Source organism: Homo sapiens, chromosome 17 (genome assembly GCF_000001405.40).
Source record: "Homo sapiens chromosome 17, GRCh38.p14 Primary Assembly".
NCBI classification, from domain to species: Eukaryota; Metazoa; Chordata; class Mammalia; order Primates; family Hominidae; genus Homo; species Homo sapiens.
The window spans coordinates 33,942,329-33,968,862 of record NC_000017.11 but is presented as its reverse complement, the minus strand read 5'-3'; the positions used below and the strand labels follow the sequence as shown (position 1 = coordinate 33,968,862).

General features: G+C 45.0%; 1 protein-coding gene and 1 long non-coding RNA gene across 2 annotated transcripts in view, besides 5 other annotated features; both read left to right on the top strand.

Moving 5' to 3' along the window:
• ASIC2 (acid sensing ion channel subunit 2) overlaps positions 1–26,534 on the top strand; it is a 1,143,682-nt gene that overhangs the window by 187,906 nt on the left and 929,242 nt on the right. The window lies entirely within an intron of this gene.
• Positions 1–26,534, top strand: part of LOC107985038 (uncharacterized) — a 51,924-nt gene that overhangs the window by 18,503 nt on the left and 6,887 nt on the right. The gene's annotated exons all lie outside the window — the stretch shown is intronic.
• Positions 570–619: an enhancer, noted in NCBI's record as "active region_12044". NCBI's record gives its function as "activates an Ori minimal core promoter by ATAC-STARR-seq in GM12878 lymphoblastoid cells {active_cell/tissue: GM12878}" and the evidence as "EXISTENCE:reporter gene assay evidence [ECO:0000049][PMID:35858748]".
• Positions 630–699: an enhancer, noted in NCBI's record as "active region_12043". NCBI's record gives its function as "activates an Ori minimal core promoter by ATAC-STARR-seq in GM12878 lymphoblastoid cells {active_cell/tissue: GM12878}" and the evidence as "EXISTENCE:reporter gene assay evidence [ECO:0000049][PMID:35858748]".
• Positions 720–789: an enhancer, noted in NCBI's record as "active region_12042". NCBI's record gives its function as "activates an Ori minimal core promoter by ATAC-STARR-seq in GM12878 lymphoblastoid cells {active_cell/tissue: GM12878}" and the evidence as "EXISTENCE:reporter gene assay evidence [ECO:0000049][PMID:35858748]".
• Positions 3,962–4,161: an enhancer, noted in NCBI's record as "active region_12041". NCBI's record gives its function as "activates an Ori minimal core promoter by ATAC-STARR-seq in GM12878 lymphoblastoid cells {active_cell/tissue: GM12878}" and the evidence as "EXISTENCE:reporter gene assay evidence [ECO:0000049][PMID:35858748]".
• Positions 26,099–26,393: an enhancer, noted in NCBI's record as "tiled region #12081; K562 Activating DNase matched - State 5:Enh". NCBI's record gives its function as "activates a minimal TATA promoter and a strong SV40 promoter by Sharpr-MPRA in K562 cells {active_cell/tissue: K562}" and the evidence as "EXISTENCE:reporter gene assay evidence [ECO:0000049][PMID:27701403]".

Genomic DNA, 26,534 nt, shown 5'->3' with positions numbered 1-26,534 from the left:
GCAGGCCAGCTCCCTGTTGTTGACTTGACATCTTTGCTGAGTCATCTTGCCAAATTCCACCTAGACAGGCTGTGCTGTGGTTTCACTGCTTGTTTGATGATTGGGGTTTCCTGTCCTGCCATATGGTGAGTCCCTGTAAGGCATGGCGGTAATGGGGCCGCACACTGGCAGATGGGCGCTTCCTGACCCAGAAGCCCAACGGAGCTGAAGCCCCCAACTTCACTCTCACCTCTACCTGCTCCCTGGAAGGGTCAGAGATTGAGGTATTTCAGGCTAAATATAGAGGCAGGCCATTAAGAAACAGCATCTCCTCCCCTCTCCCCAATCTCTCTGGGCTTTCCATGTGATGGTTTAATTGCTCCTGCAATCTGTTCCGTTTCTCCCTTGCAGTGCGGGAAAAGCAGCAGCCACAGCCCATGGTGAGAAGCTGCTTTCAGAGATGGGAACAGCTTTTAAGAGGAAGAAGGAAGCTTCAGGTCTCAGAACACAGTTGCAGGCGGGCTTTATTTTTAGAGGTCTCCGCAGAGATTCTGCCCCCTGTTCAGGTCTCGCCAGACACCAGGCCTGGCTTTGGAATTGGGGGTTGGGGGGCAGGCACCGTTTTATTTGGATCAGTGTAGCAGGAAGGGCACTGGGCTTGAAGTCAGGCAAACTTGTGAGAAAGTCATTTAACCTCAAGGACAGGAAATGCCACTCGCTCTGGCAACATGGGGATGTGGAGGAAGGGAGGGAGCACAGTAGATGGCACACAGTAAGCCCAGAGTGTGGGTCTGCCACCCTTGGCACAATACGGGTATTGACAAGAGTCTTGGGCTCATTAGTTGTGTGGCCTTGGTTTTCACATCTGTAAAATGGGGGTAATAATAGCAGCTGCTTCCAGGACTGGCTACATAGTTTGCAGGGCCCTGAACAGAATGACAATGTGAGGCCCCGAGTTGAAAAAGCTTTAACAATTTCCACACAGTGAGAGCAGAGCATTAAACCAGGCATGGGAGCACAGCCTTCTGAGCACAGGGCCCTGTGCAACTACACATCTTGTCACATCTTGTCTACTCACAGGGGTGTGGTGAGGAATTAATGAGACACTGCATGTCAAGTGCTTCTGACACTGGCAGCCTTTATTACTACTACTAATTGAGCATCAGATATACTGTCGAGAGCAGTGTTACCCATTTTGCTATGGCGTATATTAGAGGGAGAAATAGATTAAGATGGAATTTCATGGTGTCTCCAATGGCAAGCTATAGTTAGGACTTTATAAGGTAACAGTGGGGTGTAACTGAAGACTTTTGAGCCACCTTCAAAGTTGTGTTTAAGAATTCGAATCAGGCCAGGCGTGATGGCTTATACCTGTAATCCTGGCACTTTGGGAGGCTGAGGGGGGTGGATTGCTTGAGTTTCGGAGTTCAAGATTAGTCTGGGCTATGTGGAGAAACCACGTCTTTCAAAAAATACAAAAGTTAGCCATGCATGGTAGTGCATGCCTATAGTTCTAGCTACTTGGGAGGCTGAGGTGGAAAGATTGCTTTAGCCTGGGAGGTTCAGGCTGCAGTGAGCTGAGACTGTACCACTGTACTCCAGCCTAGACCACAGTGCAAGACCCTCTCTCTCTCTCAGAAAAAAAGAATTCTAATCAGAACATTAGGTGGGTAATAGGGAATGGTGGTTGGGGGGTGGGTGCTGAAGAGAGGGTACTGCCTGAATATGAGTATTGTGGGAAAAGTAAATAAATAAATAGAGACACCAAAGAAATCCTTCCTGGGTCACTGAAGAGAGGTGCTATGCGTAAACTCAGAGAACCAGGAAAAGGAGAGTTGGGGTGGAGCGAGTTGCTTTTGGCGACATAGAGTGTGAGGTGTCACTGGGACCACTGTGGATGGATATAAAACAGGACACTAGAAACAGGGGAGCAGGGCCCACATTTGGGCTAGGAGGAAGACTGGGGTGGGTGCGGGGGGTCATGGAGACCTGTATGGAAACGACTGATGTACCAGAATAGATAAAATTATCAGTGCAAAGCACATTTCCAGATTGCGGAAGCTAAGGATAAAACAGAGCCGGAAATCAACTCTGTATAAAATTAGCAAGTGAAGCTGAGAGCTTTGAACTGATCTGAGAACAGAAGGAGTCAAAGAAGCAGCATTCCTGCAGAAGATCTTGACCCTCTATGATCCTTAATCTCTTCATCTGTAAAATGGGTACAGTGTCATCCGACCCACAGTGTTGATGAAAGGGTAAAGTGAGAACTACTTCTCATACTATCAGGTGTGTGGTTAGTGAACAACACAGTGTAATCCTCTTCTTGCTTTAATTCCTGATTCTTGGATCTTTTTAGTGAGTTACATTCTATGATGTTACCAGTTTTTATGGCGGTTCGGATATGTTTGTTTTCAGAATGAATGTGGTATTATATAAGCTACTTTACATACATTATCTCCTTTTAATCCTCATAGGATTCTCCATGGAATAGTGATATTTCCATTTTTGGATGGGATGCTCAGAGACGTTAGGTAATTTACCCAAGGTCACACAGCTACAGAATGACATGGTGGAATTCCAACTCACGCCTGCCTCCTTCCAAAGCCCATGCTATCCTCATTATTTAGCAAAAGCAAGACAGGCAGGACAAATCACCCAAAAGAGCTCCCTTTCACAAAGCTTGGCTCCTCTCCTGTATACCTGCTAACAATACCATCCGCACAGGTACTCAGATGGAGACCAGGGAACACCTTGTTCTACAGAATTGTTCATTGTGGGTAATTTGCTATCTTCATGTTACTAAAATGCCTTGAACAATAGCCCATGTACAGGGGCTTGGGTTCTTCTTCTCTATGCAGAGCCTGCATAGTGAAGGCCTTGGCAGGCTGGCATCTTTCCAGCATTGCAGAGGAGGAGGAGAGCATAGGCAAGTGGTCTGAGCTGGGAGGAGAGGAGCTGAGCTCTATTCCTCCAAGCCACTGCTCCCCTTGGGCTAGTCCCTTCCCTGGCATGAAAGGAAGGTAGCCTAAATGCTCTCACAGGATTCCCCAGATCTCCTGCTACTTCCCCAGGTGGTGGTCAAGGTGAGAAAATACTACAAGAAGCAGCAGAGTGAGGTTCATCAAGAGTGTGCATGCTGGAGCCAATCTGCCTGGGAATTGATCCAGGCTCCGTCACTTCCAAGCCTTGTGATCTATGATATGTTACTTGGCCTCTCTGTGTCTTGCTTTCCTCCTCTTTAAAATGGAAAGAAAAAGAGTACCTATTTCACGAGCAAGGGAGCTAGTACAGATAAGTGTTCATCATTACTCTCATTGCTTATTGTTGTCATTGTTGTATGGGAGGCCGGAACAACCTGAAAAGATGCCACTTCCTCATGAAGTCTGTTCTCATCTGTGACTCTTGGATTATACCCATCCTTTCATGCTTGGCTTTATATTACAATTATTCAGGAGGCTGGCTTACCTTTTTGATAGGCTGGGAACCCTGCAAGGTGTGGCTTCATGTTTATTCTCCATGCTTCATACTATGTAATTAGAAAAAGAAAAAAAATCCACAGTGGAATATAAAGGGCAGGAGCTTTAGAATCAGCAGTATTCAATATAAATCCTAGCTCTGCCATTTACCAGCTGTTTGATCTGAGGCAAGTCGCTTAACCCCTCTGAACCTTGATTTGCTCATCTATAAAGTGGAATATCAGCACTTTTCCCATTAGCTAGTACATGGACATGTTTGACATATGATAGGCATTCAATAAGAGCCGTCTCCCTTCCTTTCCTCTTTCTCATTTTTCACGGCCCCATAGAATGTTGGCCACTAAATGGATTTTAAAAGGAGTATGGAAAGTGGGATTCAGAGGCTCTTGGAACTCCCTGTTCCCCTAACACTCACCCAGCCACCAGTGTAGGGATGAGGTCCGTGAGCACTTTGTCCTGTTAGCCAAGAATTCAACATTTCTCTCTTGGAAATCATAGGCTGGAAGCGAAACTGAGGTCAAGAGAAGAACAGCAACTTTCCCCAAGGCCACAGCAGCAGGACAAGAAGCCTATGTTCTGACTCCAGCCTCAGTTCTCTTCCCACCACCGCAGGCGGCTGCCTTCAATGGAGTGAGGTCTCACTCTAAGCTATTATCAACAAACTTCCCTTTCAAATGAAATAAGAAAGTTCTGGCAACAATCTGAGGGATATGTGGCCAGATGGGGTGTAGCAGCAGAGGGGGTGGTGGTTGGGAGATACTGTCAAGAGGAACTGGGCTTCTAATGACACAAGGATGAAAGTGAAAGAAATCAGCAAGTTCACCTACTTCCTGGTTTTGCAGCGTGGTATCACCTGTCCAGAAGGGAGGTTCTCACTCAGCCACCTTGTGGTGTGAAAGGGAGAATGAAGCTTTTGGTTATTTCCTCATTTTACCATGGTCCTTGACTCTGAGGGACTGGGAGTCCTTTGTAGCCAGGGAATATGTAAGACTACTGAGTGTTCTTGCCAGGCCAATTTAGAGAGGTCTAGTGTCTGATTCCATCACCATTCACCAACTATCTAAACTTGAGCTGGTCTGAGCTCAGATTGTTCCTCTGGGGGAGAGGGGTGAGCCCTGCTCTGCTAACCTGGTCAGGTTGCTGTATGTGTGATAGACTCGTGGAGTCAGAAAGTCGAAGCTGGAGTTGGCTGTACAGGCATCTACTGAAACTGACAAATTGGTTTCATCTAACACGTTCATGCCAGCCAATGGGTAGTGGTTTCCAGGGACAGATTCTGAAGCCTCACCTGGGCATAGCACAAAGAGTGTGGTAACCAATTAGTGATGGCTGCCATGAGCACAGCAATGGGGAGTTGGGCCCTGTATGCTCCATAATTTTCTTTTCTGAGTGCATCCCACAGTTCTATCTTACAAAGGAGACTGAAGCTCAAAGAAAACAAATGACTTTGTCAAGGTCATCCAGTGGCAGAAAGGGTCTCAGTCCCAGATTTCCTAATGCCAAATTTAGCAATCTTTCTTTTAAGAAAGTTGTCAGCTGTAAAATACTTTACAAATGTAAGAATGTCTTCTCATCTTTCTGTTGGCCTTTGTTTTCCTGAAAGTCAGTCACCTCAGTCCTTCTGATTTGCTCCATGAACTAAAGACTCATGTTTGTGAAAACTCTCCGAACTCCCCACTGACAAGACATACTGAGTTTAAAGGTCTCATTCAGACAACAATAAAATTATGACAATGATGGTGATATATATTATGCATATTATTATATATTATATGGAATATACATAATATATAATATAACAATAACATAATTTAAGCACCTGTTATGTGTGAAGTACAGTGGCAGGAGCCAGCCTGCTTTCTTCTCGGTTCTGTCCAATGCATATTTAAGTTACTTCCCCTCTCTGAGCTTCAGTTTTCTCATCTGAGTAATGAAAGCTCAAGAACAGATGCTTCCTTTTTGTGCTGACATTTTTCTCTCTGTGCTTCATATTATCAGCACCTACTCTGCGTCCAGAAATGGGGAAATAGCATGGGGCAGAAACGAAAATGTGAATACTTGGTTCTGTGCTCCTAAGCCACTCACCCTATTCTTCAGGAGGCAAGACAATGGGACCTGATGCACCCAGAAAACAGCGATGCAACGTAGAGAGCAGTGGACTAGAAATGAGATGGGGAGGCTGCGAGATGGGAAGAGGGTTGGTAGAAGTGTAGTTGGGAGCAGAGTCTGGGCACCAGTCCAGGTTGGAAGCCTGACTCCTGCAGTTATGAGCTGTGCAACCCTGGGGCAAGTGGGTGCTGTACACCTCTCTAGATCTCAATGTTCTTATCCTTAAAACTGAGCTCCTCTTACATATGTTTCCGGGAACCTGGGAGGTGGAGAGACCACAAGATGTGCACACATTCAGTGAACAACAAAATAGCTGACACCCCAAGTAGAGATGTGGCAAGGAGTGAAGTGAAAAGAACTTAGGAAGGAAGGGGGATGCAGAATCTGTAGTTGTTGAGGAAGGCTTCCTGTAGGAGGTAGCTTAAGGTCAGCCTCAAGAAATATATTAGTTTGGGCTGGGAGACATGACACTAGTCATTTTTTACTAAAAATGGTTTTTTCCTCTTTGGCCCCCATCTGTGCCTCTTTGGAATGGAGCATGAATATTAAGCACATTTTTCATAGGCACTTCGAAGAAAACTAGACAGTGCAGGCAGTGGCCCGGTGAATCTCTCACATACTTAAAGAGCATCCTGTTGATTTGAGGTGGAGTCAGCTGAGCCTTGGTTATTCTGACTCAGTAGCCCCCAGTACAAGCGAACATGAGCACTTCATTCCTGACCCGAAATGATAACAGAAGAGACATCCCACATTCTACACACCATGGAAAATGTTGTGCAGTTTACAAGGCATTAGAATAGCTTCAGAATTCACTGTGGCTCTGGGATGAAGAACGGACTGAGCCAGCTTTTTCTTTTCCTGGAACATCTGCCTCCCCATCCATCCTGCCATTGGGTCATTCATCCTTGGGTATTAGAGCATCTACTATGTACCAGGCACTATACTCTTTCAAGACTCTATTCCGATGTCACCTCCCCCAGGAGGGCTTTGTTGATACACACCCCTGCCTCAGCTGGCCTCAAAGCTCCTCCTCCATGTTCCAAAGAACCCTATGTTTACTACTACTTATTTTCCCATGTTTTATTTCTGTGCCTCCATCCTCATTTGACTGTGGGGCCCTTGGTCTCTTTCACTAGCAAATGGTAGAATCTCAGTTGGTGTTTGGCAGGCCCACAGAACTGGACTTGTTCATGGGCTTGCATTCTGGGGTGGGAGAAGGCATTGAACACATGGCGGCAAGTGTGCGGAGTGTTAGAAGAAGGAACTGCCGTGAGGTCCTCAGAATGAAAGGCCGGCCTCATCTGGAACCGAGGAATTCCTCCTTGGTGATGTGAGTTTTACGCTGATATTGAAGGATTTGTAGGTGTTAGGTAGCTTCCTGAGTTGGCTTCTCCCCAGCTTGTTCTTACTTCTTCCCAGGGCTACAGTTTGGAAAGTGGAGATGGAGGTTGGAAAGCAACTGTGGAGAGCAATGTTGGGTTCTGAGCTTCCTTGACACCTTCCTGCCTGAAGGGGCAGCCAGGGCTACCTGACTCCCTTTGGTTGACTTTTTTTTCCCTCCCAAATATGTCCCTTATGCTACCCAGCAAGGCAAGCAGGTGGGCTTTTTGAAATTCTTCCTTGGTCTGAGCAATCATCACCTGAGAAGGCAATTATGCAAATCACTCCGTGATCTTCCCAGAACAGCAAGTCTGCTCTGGAGAGAAAATCCAAACAGTAAACACCTCTTTGGCTGCCCCTGTGAGGACGATGCAGGCACCTTGTTTGAGGAGCACCCATTACTATGCAGCTCAGCTTCAGCCAGGTGGAGTTGGAGGGCAGAATTTCCCATGATACTCTCTCAATTCCCAGGGACATAAGCTCGGGCTAAGCTCTCTGCTCTATTCTAGCCTCCAACCACCAACTGTGATGGACCTGTTCAGGATCCACCTGTTAAGGGCCTATCTTCTGCCCCTGTTATCCCTGCTGGGTCCTGCAAAATGCTGAGGCTTTGTCCTACATAAGCAGCATAACTGTGTCCTGAAGCAGTGACCCTGCCCCTGCCAATAGCTGCACATTCCTCTTATGCACTTGGTTCATGGGCTTGGGTGTCTCTTTAAAGATTCTTTTTCTAGCTTTGGTCAAAGCCGGTCAAATTATTTTGGTTCTTCTGTTCTCAGTTTCCACATAGATTTTCCTTCCTTTCCCTTCCCTGTGCCTTTCTCTTACTAAAGTTACCACCTTGGCCTGGGCGTTGATCATCTCATGCCTAGCTGGCTGACCCACAGATCTCAGCCCTAATTTAGATCTCCTCCACTTCCACGTACTTAGGGTTGCCTGCATTATTTATCTCATTCAGGTATTCAACAAATATTTATTTGTTGGGTCTCTATTCATGTCCTAGTGATAGCGTGGAGATTAGAGCAGCACGGATCTGACTCTCGCGGGGCCTTATATTCTGGGATAGGGGCAGGCATTGAACGCCTGGCTGCAAGTGTGCTGAGTGTTAGAAGGTGGAACTGCTGTGGAGCCCTGGCAGTGATGGGGTGAGTTTTAAGCTGATATTGAAGGAATCGTAGGACTTAGGTAGGTGAAGCATGCTCAAGGAAGAGGACAAATTCCAGAAGCAGGAGACAATGGTACATTCTAGAAACTGAAAATCCAGTGTGGCCAGAATATAAATTGGGAGGAAAAGTGCTTCAGGATGAGGCCAGAGATCAGCAAGGTCCTGATCATTGAAGGCTCTAAAACCATGGTTAAGGAGTTGAGGTTATATCCTGACAGCAACAGGAAACTTTTGAAGAGTTTTAACAGAGCTCACAGTTCTCCATGAGTGTAATGGTCCAGGATCAATCTCCAGTCAAGCATTTAGGCATGGAACTCATTCACCTCTGTATGTACATTAGTCAGGATTCTTTCCATCTCTGGCAATGAAAACACAACTCAAAGTGGTTTGAGAGAAAGGAAATGTATTGGTGCAAAGATTGAAGCATCCAGGCAGATCTAGATTTAGGGGCTCAAATGTCCCTCTCCATCTCTTGGGTCTGGTATCCTCTGTGTTGGCTTCATTCTCAGGCTCTGCTCATGAGAAGACAGAGGTTGCTGCTGGCAGCTGCGGGCTAGCACTTCACTGCAGCAGTTTCCACACGAGAAAGACAGTGACACTTCCCTAATAATTACATTAAGAGCCTTGTCATTGATTGAATTTATCCCACTGGTGTCAGATGCTCATTCCTAAACCAACAACTGGAGCTAGGTTGAACTATGCTGATGGGTCAGGCTGGATCACACACTCATCACTGGACCTAGGCAGTGTGATTAGCATAGACAAAGTCCATGGACTAAGAGTAGAAGAGCAGTGGGCCACAAAAAGGAGACATTGGGCTCTATCACTAGAAAATTGAGGAATGAGTGCTGGAACACCATATGCAAGAACAGCAGGCATGATGGTTAATATTGAGTGTCAACTTGATCGGATTGAAGGATGCAAAGTATTGTTCCTGGGTATGTGTGTCAAGGTGTTGCCAAAGGAGATTAACATTTGAGTCAGTGGACTGGGAGAGGCAGACCAACCTTCAATCTGAGTGGGCGCCATCTAGTCAGCTGCCAGCATGGCTAGAATAAGGCAGGAAGAAGCTGGAAGGACTTGCCTTGCTGAGTCTTCCAGCCTTTATCTTTCTCCCATGCTGGATGCTTCCTGCCCTTGAACATCAGACTCAAAGTTCTTCAGCTTTTGGACTCTTGGACTTACACCAGTGGTCAGCCAGGGGCTCTCAGGCCTTTGGCAACAGACTGAAGGCTGTACTGTTAGCTTCCCTACTTTTGAGATTTTGGAACTCAGACTGGCTTCCTTGATCCTCAGCTTGCAGATAGCCTATTGTGGGACTTCACCTTGTGATTGTCTGAGTCAATGCTCCTTAATAAACTCTCCTTCATATATACATCTATCCTATTAGTTCTGTTCCTCTAGAGAACCCTGATTAATACTGTAAATTGGTACCAGGAGTAGGGTGCTACTGTAAAGATACCCACAGATGTGGAGGCAACTTTGGAACTGAGTAACAGGCAGAGGTTGAAACAGTTTGGAGGGCTCTGAAGAAGATAGGAAAATGTGGGAAAGTTTGGAGCTTCCTAGAGACTTGGAGGGCTCAGAAGACATGAAAATGTGGGAAAGTTTGGAACTTCCTAGAGTCTTGTTGAATGGCTTTGACCAAAATACTGATAGCGTTATGGACAATAAAGTCCAGGCTGAGGTGGTCTCAGATGGAGATGAGGAACTTAGGAACTGGAGCCAAGGTCACTCTTGTTATGCTTTTTGCAAAGAGACTGGTGGCATTTTGTCCCTGCCCTAGAGATCTGTGGAATTTTAAACTTGAGAGAGATGATTTAGGGTACCTGGTGGAAGAAATTTCTAAGCAGCAAAGCACTGGAGAGGTGACAGAGTATAAAAGTTTGGAAAATTTGCAGCCTGACCATGCAGTAGAAAAGAAAAACCCATCTTCTGGGGAGAAATTCAAGCCAGCTGCAGAAATTTGCATAAGTAATGAGGAGCCAAATGTTAATCACCAAGACAACAGGGAAAATGTCTCCAGGGTGTATCAGAGACGTTTGTGGCAGCCACTCCCATCACAGGCTGGGAGGTCTAGGAGGAAAAATGCTTTCATGGGCTGGGTCCAAGACCCCCCCTTCAGTGTGCAGCCTCTGGACATGGTGCCCTGCATACCAGCTGCTTCAGCTCCAGCCATGGTTAAAAGGAGCCAAGGTACAGCTCAGGCCATTGCTTCAGAGGGTACAAGCCCCAAGCCTTGACAGCTTCCATGTGGTGTTGGTCCTGTGGGTGCACAGAAGACAAGAATTGAGATTTGGGAACCTCCTCCTAGATGTATGGAAATGCCTAGATGTCCAGGCAGAGGTGTGCTGCAGGGACAGAGCCCTCATGGAGAACCTCTGCTCAGGCAGTGCAGAAGGGAAGTGTGAGGTTAGACCCCCCACACAAAGTTTCCAATGGGGCACTGCCTAGTGGAGCTGTGAGAAGAGGACCACGATCCTCCAGACCCCAGACCCCTCCAGAATGGTCGATCCACTTACAGCTTGCATCGTGCACCTGGAAAAGCCACAGACACTCAATGCCAGCCATTAAAGCAGCCAGGAGGATAGCTGTACCTGCAAAGCCACAGTGATGGAGCTGCCCAAGGCTGTGGGAGCTCACTTCTTGCAACAGCATAACCTGGATGTGAGACATGGAGTCAAAGTAGATCATTTTGGAACTTTAAGGTTTAATGACTACCCTATTAGATTTTGGACTTGCATGGGGCCTGTAGCCCCTTTTGTTTAGGCCAATTTCTCCCTTTCGGAATGAGTGTATTTACCCAATGCCTTTACCCCTATTGTATCTAGGAAGTAACTAACTTGCTTTTGATTTTATAGGCTCATAGGCAGAAGGGACTTGCCTTGTCTTAGATGAGACTTTGGACTGTGGACTTCTGAGTTAATGCTGAAATAAGTTAAGACTTTGGGGGACTGTTGGGAAGGCATGATTGGTTTTGAAATGTGAGGACGTGAGATTTGGGAGGGGCCAGGAGTGGAATAATATGTTTGGGTGTGTCCCCACCCAAATCTCATCTTGAATTGTAGCTCCCATAATCCCCACGTGTCATGGGAGAGAACTGGTGGGAGGTAATTGAATCATGGTGGTGGATTTTCCCATGCTATTCTCATGATAGAGAATAAGTCTCATTAGATCTGATGGTTTTATAAGGGGCAGTTCCCCTGCACACACTCTCTTGCCTGCTGCCATGTATGATATGCCTTTGTTACTCCTTTGCCTTCTATCATGATTGTGAGGCCTCCCCAGCCATGTGGAACTGTGAGTGCATTAAACCTCTTATCTTTATAAATTACCCAGTTTCAGATATGTCCTTATAACAGTGTGAGAACAGACTAATACAGCAAGTACCTACTACATAAATCCTCAAGAGACCTTCAACTCCAGTCAGGCTAGTTTCCATATTCTGTGGACTCCAAGGGCATGTTGCTTCTCTTCTCTTCTACGCCTTTGTGCTTGAGGTTGCCTGGACAGAAATGCACCTGGATTAAAGAAGATAGTTGTAGCATCTGGGTCAGAGTCGAATTCAGAGCTTTGGATATGTAGGGACAGGTAGGTGTATGAGTGGGGGCATGGTAGAAGTTGTGTGAGAATTCCCTCCTGGAGGTCATTACCAACCCCAAACGAGCTTTTCCAGATGCTCATCCCTCATCTCTAGGATTAGCAGAGAGAAGGGACAATAAATCCCCATTATTCTGATTGTCAGAGCCAGGTGAGCAGTCAGGGCAGCAGCTGCCAGGCCCATGGCCAGGTGGCCACAGAGCAGCTATCCCCTGCCTCTCTACAGAAGCCTCGCTACTTGCAGAGGTAGGCAACTGTCCCAGCTCTCAGGAGCTGTAGGATGAGTGAGGCATATGCCATCAGAACCAAAAGGAGCAGGCTCATCTAGCTGGGGACCAGGTCAAGATCTGCCATGATGTCAGTACTTGAGAATCTCAGACGGTATTTGGCAGACCCACAGAACTGGACTTGTTCATGGGCTTGCATTCTGGGGTAGGGGCAGGCATTGAACACATGGCTGCAAGTGTGCTGACTGTTAGGAGGAGAAACTGCTATGGGGTTCTGACAGTGGGGGACCAGCCTCCTCTGGGGCTGAGAAATGTCTCCCTGGTGACGTGAGTTTTAAGCTGATATTGAAGGATTAGTAAGAGGTAGGTAGGCTCCTGAGTTGGCTTTTCCCCAGCTGGTTCTTACTCCTTCTCAGGGGTGCAGCTTGGAAAGCAGAGATGGAGGTTGGAAAGTAGATGTGGAGAGAGACATTGGGTTCAGAGCTTCCGTGACACCTTCCTGACTGAAGGGGCAGCCAGGGCTACCCGACTCCCTTTGGTTGAGTTTTTCACTCCCTCACAAATATGAAAGAACTTAGACTTGTGCCACAACCCTAGCCTCGCCTTGCTACAGCCTCTCTCAGGTCAATTCTTGAGATACAACCCACTTCAGACTTTGAACCCTCATTCTCTGAATGGTGGAAACTCTTCTTCAAGAGCGCTTTCCCAGCGCTCCCGCTCCTATTGACTCTCCTGCTTGGATCACTGCCCAAGCATTCCTTCAACACTAAGACTTTCCTTTATTCAGTGATTCATTTTTTTCAATTCATTAGCTATTTCTTGAGCCCTACTATGTGTCAGGCACTCTACCTCTGACTTGTCTCTACCTTGTTTCATGAGTCCATCACTCATTATATTATATTAATTATAATAGTCTAATGATGGGCCCTCAGCTTGTCTATCAGTCAATGGCCACTCAAGAGATAGGAACTATCCCAGGCATTTGAATGGAGAGAACATAATACAAAAATTTTAACTAGGTGTAAATTCATTAACCAGGTATCTGAAAAAGTAAAAGAGGACACTAAGGTTTTACAGAAGTAGTAGCTACTACAGAAAGCATCCACTGTCCCTTGGGCTGGAGGAAAAAACATAAGCAGTTGGGATTATTAAAATGCAGGACGTTGGAGGAGGGGCCCTGTTGGGCTGGAGCTCAGACCTCTGAGAGGGAGATGCTGATTGGCTAGTGCTGGTGTCTCTGAGCTCAACATAGGAGGGGTCCCGTGGGGCTGGCTTCAGACCACTGAGAAGAAGGTGCCTGCCAGCTGGTGCTGGTATTTTGGTGGTGGGTGGTGGAATGCATACCACTGGTTCTGCAAGTGTTGAAAAAAACATACTGAGTTCAGCTGCTGCTTTAGGAAGGAACTACCCCTGCCAAGATGAAGCAGCACCACTGGGGTGAAGCTTCCAGGAACAGAAGCAGGCAGGAAGCCACCAGGAAGCAAGCTGGAAGTCCTTTTTTTCTCCATCCTTGCAACCTTCCTCTAGTGCCCCCTATTAGCACAACCTAATGTTAACCCAGATGGCAAGAAAATAGGATTGGCAGCACCAGTAAGACAAAGCTGCACAGAGAAGGGTGGATTTAAAATGGAAAGACAGTAACTTAATGATGAACACATATGGGACAGGTGACCCTTCATTGGCCATACTTCCATGGTGCCCAGAACAGTGATGGCTAGAGTGTGGTATTAGAAAGACCTTGGATTTGGAGTAAATGGACCCATTTCTACTGCTTAATTTCAGTGTGACTTATTGGTCAAGTCATCAATATCTCTAAGCTTTCATTTCCTTATCTGTAAAATGGCAAAAATAACCCCTGACCTACATCCTACCTACCTACCTTTGATGCAAGCAAGAAATCAGTGTAATAAAGCAAGTATAAGAACTTTACACCTTGTATCCTGCCTCTCAAATGCAGCACAATGAATTAGTACTCAGTGTAATACTCTTCCCCACAGAAGAACATTTCAGTCTATTTAGGGTTTTGAACATCTTCTTAAGGAACATATCCCCTTGGAGACTTCAAGGTTCTTCTTATAAGCAAGAAAGGCGCAAACCGGGCTGCATGTCAGGGAAACTTTCCTGACAATGTGAATGTTGTGTGAAAGAAAGCAAACCATTTCCTCTCAGAAATGAGGTTCTGTTGCATAAGACATCTCAAATAGACTCAGACAAAACACTCACAGCTTCGTGGCAGAGCTGGGGGTGAAGTCAGAGGGAATCAGGCTACCCTTGTCCTTGGGGATGAACAGTCAGCACTGGTGAAGCTCTTTCCCATGTCTAATTTTGAGGCACATTTTACAGCCCCAGTGGCACTGTGTGGGTGTTGAAGACACTGCCTCTTCTCATCTTAATGATGTTTTGCTTTAACAGAGACGTTTTGCTCCTTGGAGCTCTGCTTGCTGCTTCAATGTAATAAGCCTCCCGGGATGCCCCAGGTGGGATTGGGAGCTTGCTCCCAGCTTTAGGCATATTGGCTGCCATGGAGCAGTGAGCAAAAACAGGGAGGGTCCTAAATCTACAGGATCATGTGTGGCCCAGTTTGACTGCTCCCACACATGCTGATGGGTGATTGGGTCACAGATACCACACTCCTGAGAACTTTCCACATTCTGCTGCACACAACACACTCCTCCCCATCTCAGGGCTGGGGCACGGTTTTGCCTGGCCTTGCATTGACCGCTGCTGCATCCCACCTCCACAGATGCTGGGTAGGCAACAGTGTCAGATAGCCTGGGGTTCCAACCTGTCTCATTCTTGGTTGTTAACTCTGGACAGTTTTTAAAACTTCTGTCCCTTTGTTTCCCCAAAAGAAGAAATGGATGTTGGCAGGCTTAGCCCAGGTTCCTTTCTCTAATTCACTCCTGTGGTCCTGCCTAAATACTCATCAAAGCAATGTGCTCCAAAACCCATCCCCACCCTCTGTGGCCCAAAGAATGTACCATGGAACCCCATTGCCCAGCAAATGAAATTTAAATTCCAAAGCCTCACATTCAGAGCTCTCTATCATCTTAATCTATAGTTTCTATTCTTGATCCTTCCTCTTAATATACTTATTTACCCCAACCAACATGGTCTAGTTTGCAATCCCCAGCATTGAATGACACATTCTCCCGTCCAAGCCACCACCCACAACACTCCCCTCATTCAGGAAGCTGGCCTCTTCCTTGTTCAACCCTGCTTGAAGGTTCTGCACATTGCCACCTTGTTGTTGAAATTTCCCTGGATCTTACCAGGCTGAAAGCACTTCATCCTTCTTTGAGATTTTTTATTTTTTGACAGGGTTTATACACTGCATTGATTTATATGATTTTTTTTTTAACTACAGCTGGAGGAGAGCAAGCAACCAAGTAGATACAATAGACCAGGATTTGAATCTGGTCTATTGTGATATGTATATTCAATACTTTACTGAAAATATTACAGATAATATATACAAAATTACGATCACAGTGTCTAATAAAGGGTACTGATTATTATCACACAGTATTAGGTACATATTACACACTCAATGAAAATCTATTGGATTGATTTAAGTACCAGACATAGGGTTTGAAGCAATGATATTGGATGTAAAAGTTATAAATTGGTATTTTTAAGAATTGGATTTGTTTCAGATTTTAAAGCAGCATGTGCTCATTGTAGAAAATGTGTAATATGTGTGCACGTGTATATAAAAAGGTAGGAGAAATGTCATTCAAAATCTCACATCTCAGTGGTAATTACTCTTAACACATTATTTTTTTCAATTTTAAATGCATTGTATGTAGATGATCTCATACAAATATATAGTTTTGTTTCTAATATTTGTGTATGTCATAAATAAAGGTTAGAAACCTACTGTTTAACCCATTATAAAATAATATATGATAGTCATTTTAAATACAAAAAATATTAAGGCATTTAATTAAAATACTCAAATCTAGCCTACTATACATATTTGGGGTTATTTTCTTCCAACCTTTTATAATTACATTTTTGCATATTTCAGGAATCACCATTAGAGTGAAAGCATTTTCCTATGCTATGAAACAATTTTCTGACATCACTTTTTGATGGTTACATAATATTTTACCCTACATAGTTTGTTTAATCCTACCTTTATTTCTACATAATTAGGATGTTTTTTACTTTTTTCCCATTATCAATACATCTTCATCTGAATTTTAAATGTTTTCCTTAGGCTAGGGAGTGCAATTTGATCAGCAATTTTTTAAAAGCCCAAATTGTAATGACTCAGAGTAAGTATGTTATCTCACATGACTAAAAGTGCAAATGAGGCTGTATTTGGACGAGTTCAGTGACTTGATGATATCATCAAGGACCCAGGCATCTTCCATCATTTTGCTCCTGTTTTCTTTAATGCATGATGTGAATAGACATCATAATAAATAATTTACATATATTAGCTTCTTTCCTCTTCACAGCAGCCCTAAGAAGTGGGGTCCTATTTTTATTCTCATGATAAGAATGAGGAAACAAGCTCAGCGAAGTACCTTGCCTAGGATCACATAGCACCGCATATAAGAGATGGGCCTACTGAGGTTCCAGACATCATATCCTCACTCCATTATCCAGATGGAGGGAAGGATCTAACTCTTCCTTCTATCTCTTCCCCACCTTTTTGATTTGATAAATTTCTAAGCTACACAAAATTTGGAAGCATATTAGAATGAGCACCAGTATTCACTTCTCTTCACTCATTGTTCAACATTTGCCATGTTTGCTTCCTCTCCTCTCTCTCATTCTCTCTCATTCTCTTTCTCTCTCCCAGTTGAAAGCAATTTGAAGATATCATGGGGTCTATTTCTCTTTTTCAAAACTTTTAACATTGAAATATGATATACTTGCACAAAATGCATTTACTATATGTATGCAATTTAATAGAATTCCACAAATTGATCACACGTGTGTAACCAGTGCTCCCCTCCTCTGAAATGTATCAAGGGTGATATTGAAAAGAAAAGGGTTCTTTCAGTAAGAAAGGAGGAAGAGACCAGGCAGGGTGGCTCACACCTGTAATCCCAACACTTTAGGAGGCCAAGACGGGTGGATAACTTAAGGTCAGGAGTTCAAGACCAGCCTGGCCAACATGATGAAACCCTGTCTCCACTAAAAAAAAAAAAAAAATACAAAAATTAGCCAGGCGTGGTGGCACACGCCTGTAGTCCCAGCTACTCTGGAGGCTGAGGCAGGAGAATCCCTTGAACCCAGAAGGTGGAGGTTGCAGTGAGCCGAGATGGCGCCACTGTACTCCAGCCTGGGTGACAGAGTGAGACTCCATCGAAAAAAAAAGAAAAAAAGAAAAGAAAAAAGAAAAGAAAAAAGAGGGAAGAATAGGTATAGCGTATAGGCACCCACAGTGTCTGCTGCTCCATCATCTCAGTGGCCCTGCTTTCTTTCTTAAGCTGAAAATGGAAATTGGCCACAGAGCATAAAGGAACGGGGACCATGGTAATACAGCACAGGAAGGCACAGCTTCCAGGTCACCATAGACTTTGGAGTCGGAGAGTCCTGGATTGAAATCTCAGTTCTACCTTTTATGTGCTTTATGATCTTAAGCAAGATATTTATCCTCACAGAGCCTCATTTTCTTCATCTGTACAATGGAAATCATAACAGGGCCTACCACCGAGGGCCACTGTGAAGGTGGAAGGAGTTAGTATTTGTAAATCATTTACTATGTTACCTAATTTATAGTGAGCACTCAAGAAATGATACCTGTTGTTATTATTATTACTAATCATAATAATCTTGCCAAATATATGTTATTACTATTCTTGTTTACAATGGAGAAAATGGATGGCCTGAGAGATAAAGAGATTAATTGACTAATAAGCAACAGAGCCAGGATTCACAATCAGGTTTTTCTGGCTCTAAACTTGTTACCTCCCAATGAATAGATCAGGCCTGGACAAATGAGGGACTAAATCATACCTCTGAAGATCAATTTGTTAACTGACAGTTAATATAATAAGAGATGTAAGTGCTAAGCCACCACTGAGCTGGTGCCAGCAGGCCAGCACTTGCTTTTTCCCAAAAAGAAAGTGCAAAAGGCAACAGGGATGGTGCTTAAAAGGCTGGAGCTGCCTTCAGGACCACCCAGCACCCCAGCCCTTGCAGATTCCCCAGAAAGCACTGGACCCAGATGAGGGGACCCAGGGTCTCATCAGGACTTTTCTTCTGACCTTTCAGGTGGCTGTCATTGGTCCCTTCCCCTCTCTGAACTTCAGCCTCCACATGGCCAAGGCAGTGGGCATGGGGAGTTCTGGTGGAGGTGATGTCTGTGGACCTGGCTTGCTTCAGCAAGCTGGGACTCCAGGTCCCCACTCATTGCTGCCCCATCTCCCAACCCCACCTTCCCTTCAGTATTCAGAAGGGGGATCCGTCGTTTGGGTTTTTTATAACTCACTTCTCTATTGCTTTATTACTTTTCCAGTGACAGGCAGCAGAATAGACTTTGTCTCGATATTGGCTGAGGGAACGTGGTCTGCATTTATTACGGAATCTGATTTCATTTTGGTTTTACTTCTTTTTGTGTGTGGAGGAAGAGGCCTGGTCCTCCTGTAGGTCAGCTCCAGCTGGAGGAGTAGGCCCAATTACCCGGCAGCCTCTGGGTCTGCACTGAGAGTGGGCAGGCCCTCCCTGGTAATCAACTCTAGAGGTGCTTGGGCTGAGAGGGAAATTGAAGTTCCCAGGAAGGCCACGCAGCAAAAGCGCCTGATTAGAGACAATGACCCTGAAGGATTTCTTAACACACCCTCTGAGGTAGCTGCTTCTGACTATGGTTCAACCTCTTAGAGCCCTCTGCCTCTGGCAGCCTCAGGACTGTTCTCCAAGACCCAGGTCTTGCAGGAGGCACAGTCAGACTTGGCTTGAGTCTTGATTCAGCCACCTACCAAGGATCAGGATCTGGGGTTGGCCACACCAGGATTCGAAAGTGGACACTCTGATTTGGAGGTACATCTCTAGGCTCTCTGAGTTTTCATTTCTCATTGGGAATTGTAGACAGTAACTTCTGTCTTGGAGAATAATAAAATAATAATTAATCCTCACTAAGCCTTTGCTAGGTGCCAGGCAGTGTGCTAAGTGCTTTCTATGACTATCTCTTCCATTTTGTACAACCGTTTGATAAGATTGGTACCAAACACGATCCCACATTTATAGATGAGGAAACTGAGGTTCATATATGCCAGTAACTTTGCTTATCTGTCCAATTAGTCTGGCAAGCAGGCCTATGGAATTTGAGGGAGGACATGACGCATGGTTTGTAAAAATGGACCTAATGTGTATTTTTAAATAATCCTCATCAATTCTTTTGATTCCTTGGAATAAAATAAGAAATCATAGACATCCAAAGCAGCATAGAAAAGGTATGCGGTACCTTTAATTTTTCTAAAAATAAAACTTATAAATTTACAAAAGCACAGTCATTTATTGTGGAAGAATCTATTGAGTATCTTCTGTGTCCAGTGTGGTGCCAGGCTATGCAGATTTGAGTTGGAAAAGCCATGGTCTGGCCTGGATAAGCTGCTAGTCTATGGCCAGCGAACAGCTAGGGGGCAGTGTGACATCTGCACTGAGCAGGGTCCTCAGAGAAGTGACCAGTTCTCGCTCGTGCCCTGCCATGGGAGAGATTTTCCCAAAAGACATGGCACAATCACTTTGTGTCCACAAAGGATTCCTATTACGCTGAAGAAAACTCACCCACAAGTCAAGTTAGTGAAACTTTGACCCACCACTTGTTTTTGCATGGCCCACTGGTCTTTACATTTTTAAATAGTTGAAAAAAAAAATCAAAAGAAGAAGGTTTTGTGCCACGTGAACATTATATGAAACTCAAATGTAGATGTCCATTTATAAAGACATGCCAGAACACAGTCCCACTCATTTCTTTACAAATCATCTGTGGCTGCTTTCATGGTCCAGTGAAAAAATTGAGTAGTTGCAACGAAGACCCTTTGGCCTGCATACCTAAAAGATCTACTCTCTGGCCCTTCACAAAAGAAGTGTGACAACTTCTGCTATAAGTCATTGCCTTCTTCTTCATCCTCCTTTATCTTGGTGCTTTTATCTTCATGCAGTGTCCACTGTCTCCCTTCTCTTGCTTTGTCTAATCCTCCCAATCACAGTGTAAGGTAGGCATTGACAATCTTCCTTACAGATGCTCAAACTGAGGATCCAAGAGGAAAAGTCATTTGCCGAAGTCCACAGCTACTAAGCGGGGAAGCCAGGGCAGCTCTTGGATTCCAGGTTTTCTAAAGCCAGGGCCAGTCCTCACGCCTTCTCTGTGTAGTGCAGACTTAGTGTTTGAGGCCATGGCACCATGCAGTCAGAGGCCAGGTGGCGTTTGAGGTGTAAGCCTGTGATCCTGGCGGGAGTGGGCATCCCAGGGCAGAAGCCTTCCATCTGGAGGATTAGGTGACCTTAAGGTCCCTTTCAACTCTCTGAGCCCGTGATTGTGTGATCTCTGGCCAGTTCTGCAAAGGGCCAGGCCACATGCCATCTCTAAAGGCTTCACTGACAAAATGAGGCTCCTGCGGGAGCCTGGATCCCCACACTCCAGCCAGTCTCTCTGGAGCTCTGTGGTGCCGAGTGAGGCTCAGAGCATTGAATCTGTTTCTCCAGATGATTTGTCTTTGCAGAATGAGGTAAAGCAGGCTGGAGACAGCAGAGGTCAAATTCAGCTTATAGATTATCAGCCACCTCTGTTCTTCCTCCCACGCAGGAGTGTTCCCTTCTGCCCCATCAGAGTCCAGCCCTTAGCACCCACCTAGCACAGTACAGTGGAAATTGGATGGACCTAGATTCAAATCCTGATTCTGCCACTTACAGGCTTCAAGATTCAGTCAAGGGGCTGCCAATATCTTTCACCCTTCACATCCTATTCTGCAAAATAGAAATAATATAGTGCTTAGTTAGCACTTAAGATCAAGGAGAGATAAATCATCTAAAATACCTAGAATATCCAGTAAATATTAGTTATAATCTTAATTCATGTTTAAAGCAATAAGAAACTGAAAATATTTAACACTGGTAAAAATACATAATATGTAACTTAGAACAACCCCATCCAAACAAAGAAAGAAAAATAGCTGCAATTTGATGGTCCTCTTTGACCAGAAAATAAAATTGAACACAACTTATCTTTGTGCTTTAGGCCCTCCAGACATTTTCAGAATTCATCTCTTTGAAGGATGGATGGAAATTCATTCATCTTCATCCTCAATGGATCCTGAGTTATTGGACTGCTATCCAGTCCCCAGTCGAACATGCCTTCTTTGTGGCTTTTGCATGCGAATGTCCCTTTGCCTGAGCTTTCCTTCTCCATTTCTCTGTTTTGTGAACTCCTACTTATCCTTCAAAACCCAGCTCAAATATGACTACTTCTATGGTGCCTTCCTTGTATCCTCAATTCCTCTTCTATGTTCCCACAGCACCTTGTACATGAGTCTTATTAGAGCATTTAATCTATTATAATTGAGTTCACTGTTGATGTTGGAATCTTTAAGGCCTAAGTAGAGGTCCCACTAAGAGCAGTAATTAGAGCGAAACGCCAATGGAGCTGTACTCCTTTTCCTGGAGAATCTGCCTGTGTCTCCACAGACAGGCAACACTCTTACTACTCATGCCTAGAGGGAGGGGAGACACAGTCTGGAGTGGCAAAGATAGATCTCCCCATGAGATGGTGCTAATAGTTTTCCTTTGATTTTACTTTTCCATCTTGATTAAAAATATGTGATGTTTACACTGCTACAGGGCAGACGGAACTGTGAATTGCTTTACAATCTACACATCAGATTTCATGTCCTCTCTTATTTCATGTTCCATCAGATTTGCAAAACTTTGGTTCTCCTCTATTACTCAGTGGAACTCAGAACTTTATAACAATAATCTCAGTGGGTGCAGGTGCAGGGAAGGGCAGATCAGAGATGTGGATGGAGAGGACATATATGCCCCATCTCCTCCCCTTCACCCCAAACTGCCAGACTAACATCCTCCTGCATCCTTCTGGGAGCTCCCCAATCTTAGTTCAAATCTGGTTTCCTGGCCCTGTCTCTGCTACTCTTTCCTATATGTAAGCCAATCTATGCCAGCTTTATCCATGACCCTTGTCCCCTGGCCCCACCTTCCCAATGGACCCACATGGAACTGCCTGTTTCTAGTGTTGCTTCCCTTCATTTTGACTCTGGGTTTAGACTCTGAATAGGACAGCCTTCTCCATCTCTCTTTGCTCCCTCTCTTGCCAGCTGCAGTGAGCCCCACTAGCCTATGAGTCCTAGAAGGCAGTGAACATGTCTCGTTCATTTCTATATGAAGTCACAGCATTGAGCACTGTGCCTGCACACAGAGGATATTCACTGATTGTTAAATGAATCAGTGAATGCACAAATGAACCAATGACTAAGTCTTGATGACCATGCATTTAATAGGTCTTTATTTGCTCAGAAGAGGTCTGATTCAAGGCCAGGCTAAACAGTTTCCACCTTTTTTTAGCATTCAAAGAAATGTTGGCACTTTTGCTACAGCAGAGGGCACTGTGATTTCCCTCCAGCCTCGGGCCCCCCAGACCCAACAACCTGTCCCAGTCGTCTTTCACCCATGGTAAGATGACAAGAGAAGGATTCTCAAAAGATGGACAGATGGCAACATCATCAGCCTTCTGAGTATCTCCAAATAAGAGTTTTCATATACTTATGCAGGTCTATGTGCAGGATCTTGAGCTGCAGTGGCCGCCTTGACTGTGACATGGAGATCAAAGTGACCAGTAATAGGATCTGGTCCCCTCCTCCAATTCACCACCTAGGAGGTGCATAGTGCCTTAATCACAGTTAATGATCCACCTGCCCAGTGGCATGTCGTATGCTAAGGTCTGATGGTCTCTGACTTTCATCTTGCATGCTGGAGGATGCCTCCTAAGCACCACAAATGGGATTTCCCTGTCAGAATCTGATTATGGATCTTTATGCTTTAATCTCCTTGTCTTGTCCACTTTGAGACTTGTGGTCAGTGGGGCATGAATTCCACTTATCAGGGCCTGGTTTATTGTTTCTGAGACTGCCTGCTGCTCTGACCAGAAGCTGGCTCTGGATGCAAGCAAATCGTTGGAAAGTGGATTGATGTATTTTTGTGGGGAGCTGAGTCAGATCACGGAGCTTCTTGTTGCCAAACTTTCAGGGAGACCTAAACAGACCTGGTGAAGATTTGTGGGATTCATTTAGGTCACCATGGTGTCCCCTGACACAGAAGCCATATGCAGCCTAAATCAGGAAGCTCTAGGCTCAGAAGGCATTCTTGATCTTAGCTCTGAACTGCCCGCTTAATCTGCTTGCCATGTCTAAGCCTGCTGATTTGGGCATTCTCGGTTAGCAACATTGCTGCCCATTCTCCCATTTTTATTTCTCTTATCCTTTGTATTTGTCGTCTAGTACCATTTTCCTGGCTCCAAACTTATTTTCTGCTAAACCAATTATGCCTCCTTGTTCCATCTGAGTTAACAGCCCTCCTGGTCATGACCCTAGTGCTGCTCTGTATCAGTGAGCCCACAAGTCCTGAGACCACCAAAAAAAAAAAAATGGGCAAGCCCTTATGCCTGTGCTGAGCTTTGAGGTTGTGAATGTGTTACCCATGTCACTCCTCTGGCAGACAATTCTGTGAAATCGACATTGTAACTCCCTTTCTAAGATGGAAAAACAGGTTCGGGATGTTAAGTGACTGGAGATCAAGACTTCACATTGGAAAAGCAGCACCTTGAGCTTTCAAGCCAAGCTGCTGCCCCTGGCATCAGCCTCTGTCTTCTACAGAGTTGCCCTACAGCAGGCAGCAGCAATCACATGAGATCATACTTAAATTAGGCATCTGCTCAGCCCTTAAGAGCTGATACACAGTTTCCAGTGGATGCTCAGCAACCCTTGGCAGGACAAGGCTCTTTTTCTATTGGGGAACCAATGTTCAGCTTCAGGAGAGACTCAGGGGTGAGGGAAGCAGAAAGGATGGTGTCCCAGCCAGTCCATTTTACGCATTGGTGGAGATTACCATCAGATCTACCTCCATCACACTCTTCTGGAGGCACGGATCATGGCCAAGAGGGACAGAGGCCACAACCCCTGCAGCCTTGAGTCTGGTAGCACTTTGCAGTGTGCAATGGACTTTCAGCACGATTAGCTCATCTCATTCTCAGTACATCTCTCTGGCAGGGCAACCCTGAGGAGCAGGCAGGGCAGAAGTGTTTCACTTTGGCACAGAAAGAAAGCACAGCTCAGAGACTAGCCCACATCACACGCTCCTGAAACCCTGTTTTCTTGGCGCTCCCCTGACTCACCTTCCTCTCCTCACAGGTTCTCCTCTCCATCCAGCCCTACTCGACTGCCTTGGCCTCACCTCCTTTCCCCACTTCTTCTTACTTTTATCTGTCTGCCTCTCCCTGTGAGCACCAGTCTCCTCTCTGAACCACCATGGATGCTTTGGTGCATTCCTAATGATCAAGGCTCCTTCCTGAGGCTAATGAGATAGGGATATGAAAGTTCATGCTAAACTGGCGCTGTTTCTCCTGCTGTTGCTGCCCAGGGCTGGGTAGTCTCATAGGAGTTCTTCTCCACAGAAAGCTCAGACCCTATGGGTCACACCCTCAGGATACAAATGAATCAGATATTATCTCTCCATGGGAAGTGCAAGGAAAATAAACAATCTTAAATGTAGGCATTGAGTGGAAGTGGTCAATAAATTGCAGCTGAAAATTCAGAAACATCAGCAAGTCCTTATACAGGTTTTCAGACAGAACTTGTGATACCACCTGAGTGATCTGAAAACCTCAAGACAAGAATTTCTTTTAGAGTAACTCAGGTTGTCAAAAGCTGACACAAATCCTATCTAGGATCCGCCTTCATCCTCAGACGCAAGTGGTTTCCACAAATAAACCTCTAAGAATTTTTATAGTTAAAAATAACTGAATTACAAGGAAACAAAACACTCCGAGGGTGAATCAGAAGAAGAAACTGCAAGCACAGAACTCCCTGAATCTCAGCTTCTTCACCAATAAAACGGGGATAACAATACTCACCCTACCAAGGTGGTGTGTGGATTAAGAGATCAGGTGCATGTGATGTATTTAGCACAAGGCCTGGTGTGTACAGCAGATGCACAATGAGAGCTAGCAGCTGTGGTTATTTTCTCCATTTTTTTTTTTTTTTTTTTTACTATTATCATTCAATGAATGTTGGCTTCTTTCTCCTATATTTTCACTCGTGCACAGGCAAAAGAAAGTCAATGTAAATGGAAAAACTGCAGGATTTGGTGTCAGGAGGTTTAAATTTGAATCCAAGTCTGTTAACCTTCTAGGGTCTGCAGCCTCAACTGTAAATTGGGACAGAGGTACTTGCACCTGCTCTTACTGGGCAAGGTTGTTTTGAGGATGAAATGGAGGGAGGGCTGTGGAAGCACTCTGCAAACTATAAAGTGCCATGCAAATGTCACCTGATCATATTCTCTCTTCATTTCTTCCGTTGTCTCCCATTTTGTGTCTCTCTTGAAACATGCGGTATAGGGAGTTTTCAAAGATGAAGTGCGGACATGAGGGCAGATGGGGAAGTGGGTTCTCATTCTGCGGTTTCTCCATTACAATATCAACCTTCTTCCCTGCGCTTCTCCTCTTTCCCCCTTGCAGGGGCAAAGACAGATAGACTAATACCTTATATTTTTACTGTACTGGATAATAAAAGAATAAAAGGCTCGTCCAGAATTCAGAAGTTCCATTCTATCATTTCCTCATTGTGTGATCTTAGATCATTCCTTTTTCTGGGCCTTAGCTTTCACATATACAGAATAGGTACAATAGTACCTACCTCATAGTTGCATGAGATTAAATGAGATTTTGTTTGGAAGATAAAAGGTCGGAACTTACACCTTCTAAGATCTTTTGCAAAGTTAACATCCTGAGACTTTGGGAAGGACGAATGCTTCTGGAATGGTGATACCCAACTATTACTGTGGAGAGCATAGGTCTGAAAGCCCTAAAGGCAAGTTCCTCTTTGGGACTTTGGGGTCAGTCCTGTGACACAGAGCACATTTTCTAAAACTGGGATGGTAGCTGGCCTTCATTGCTCGGCTGATGAAGCTAAGTACAGCCCTTGCTGTTCAACTTAAACCATGTCTTAGCAACACACACCATCTTCCTCTAGCAAAATGTGAAGTCAGGAATGAAAAAACTAGACCCCTGACTTCAGGGCCCCAATTTGTCTCTGCCACTCGTTTCCATAGTGATTATCACTGAGAGATGACTCACCACTCATTAATCAGTGACTTCGTGTGCCCTGTCCAATTCCTGCCTCCCGCACACTCTCATGTCACCCAACCAGAAAAAGGGCAGCTTCTGTAAAGGAGAAAAGGAGGTGGAAGGCAGAGGGTCTGAGTTCTGGCCTTGGCTCTTCCATTGGCTGTTGTGTGAACTTGAGTTAGACCCTGCACTTCTCTGGGTCTCAATTTCTTCATCTGTGAAATAAGGCCTCCATCATTAGGTGACTTCCACAGGTTCTAAGACATTCTAGGATAGAGGGCACATCC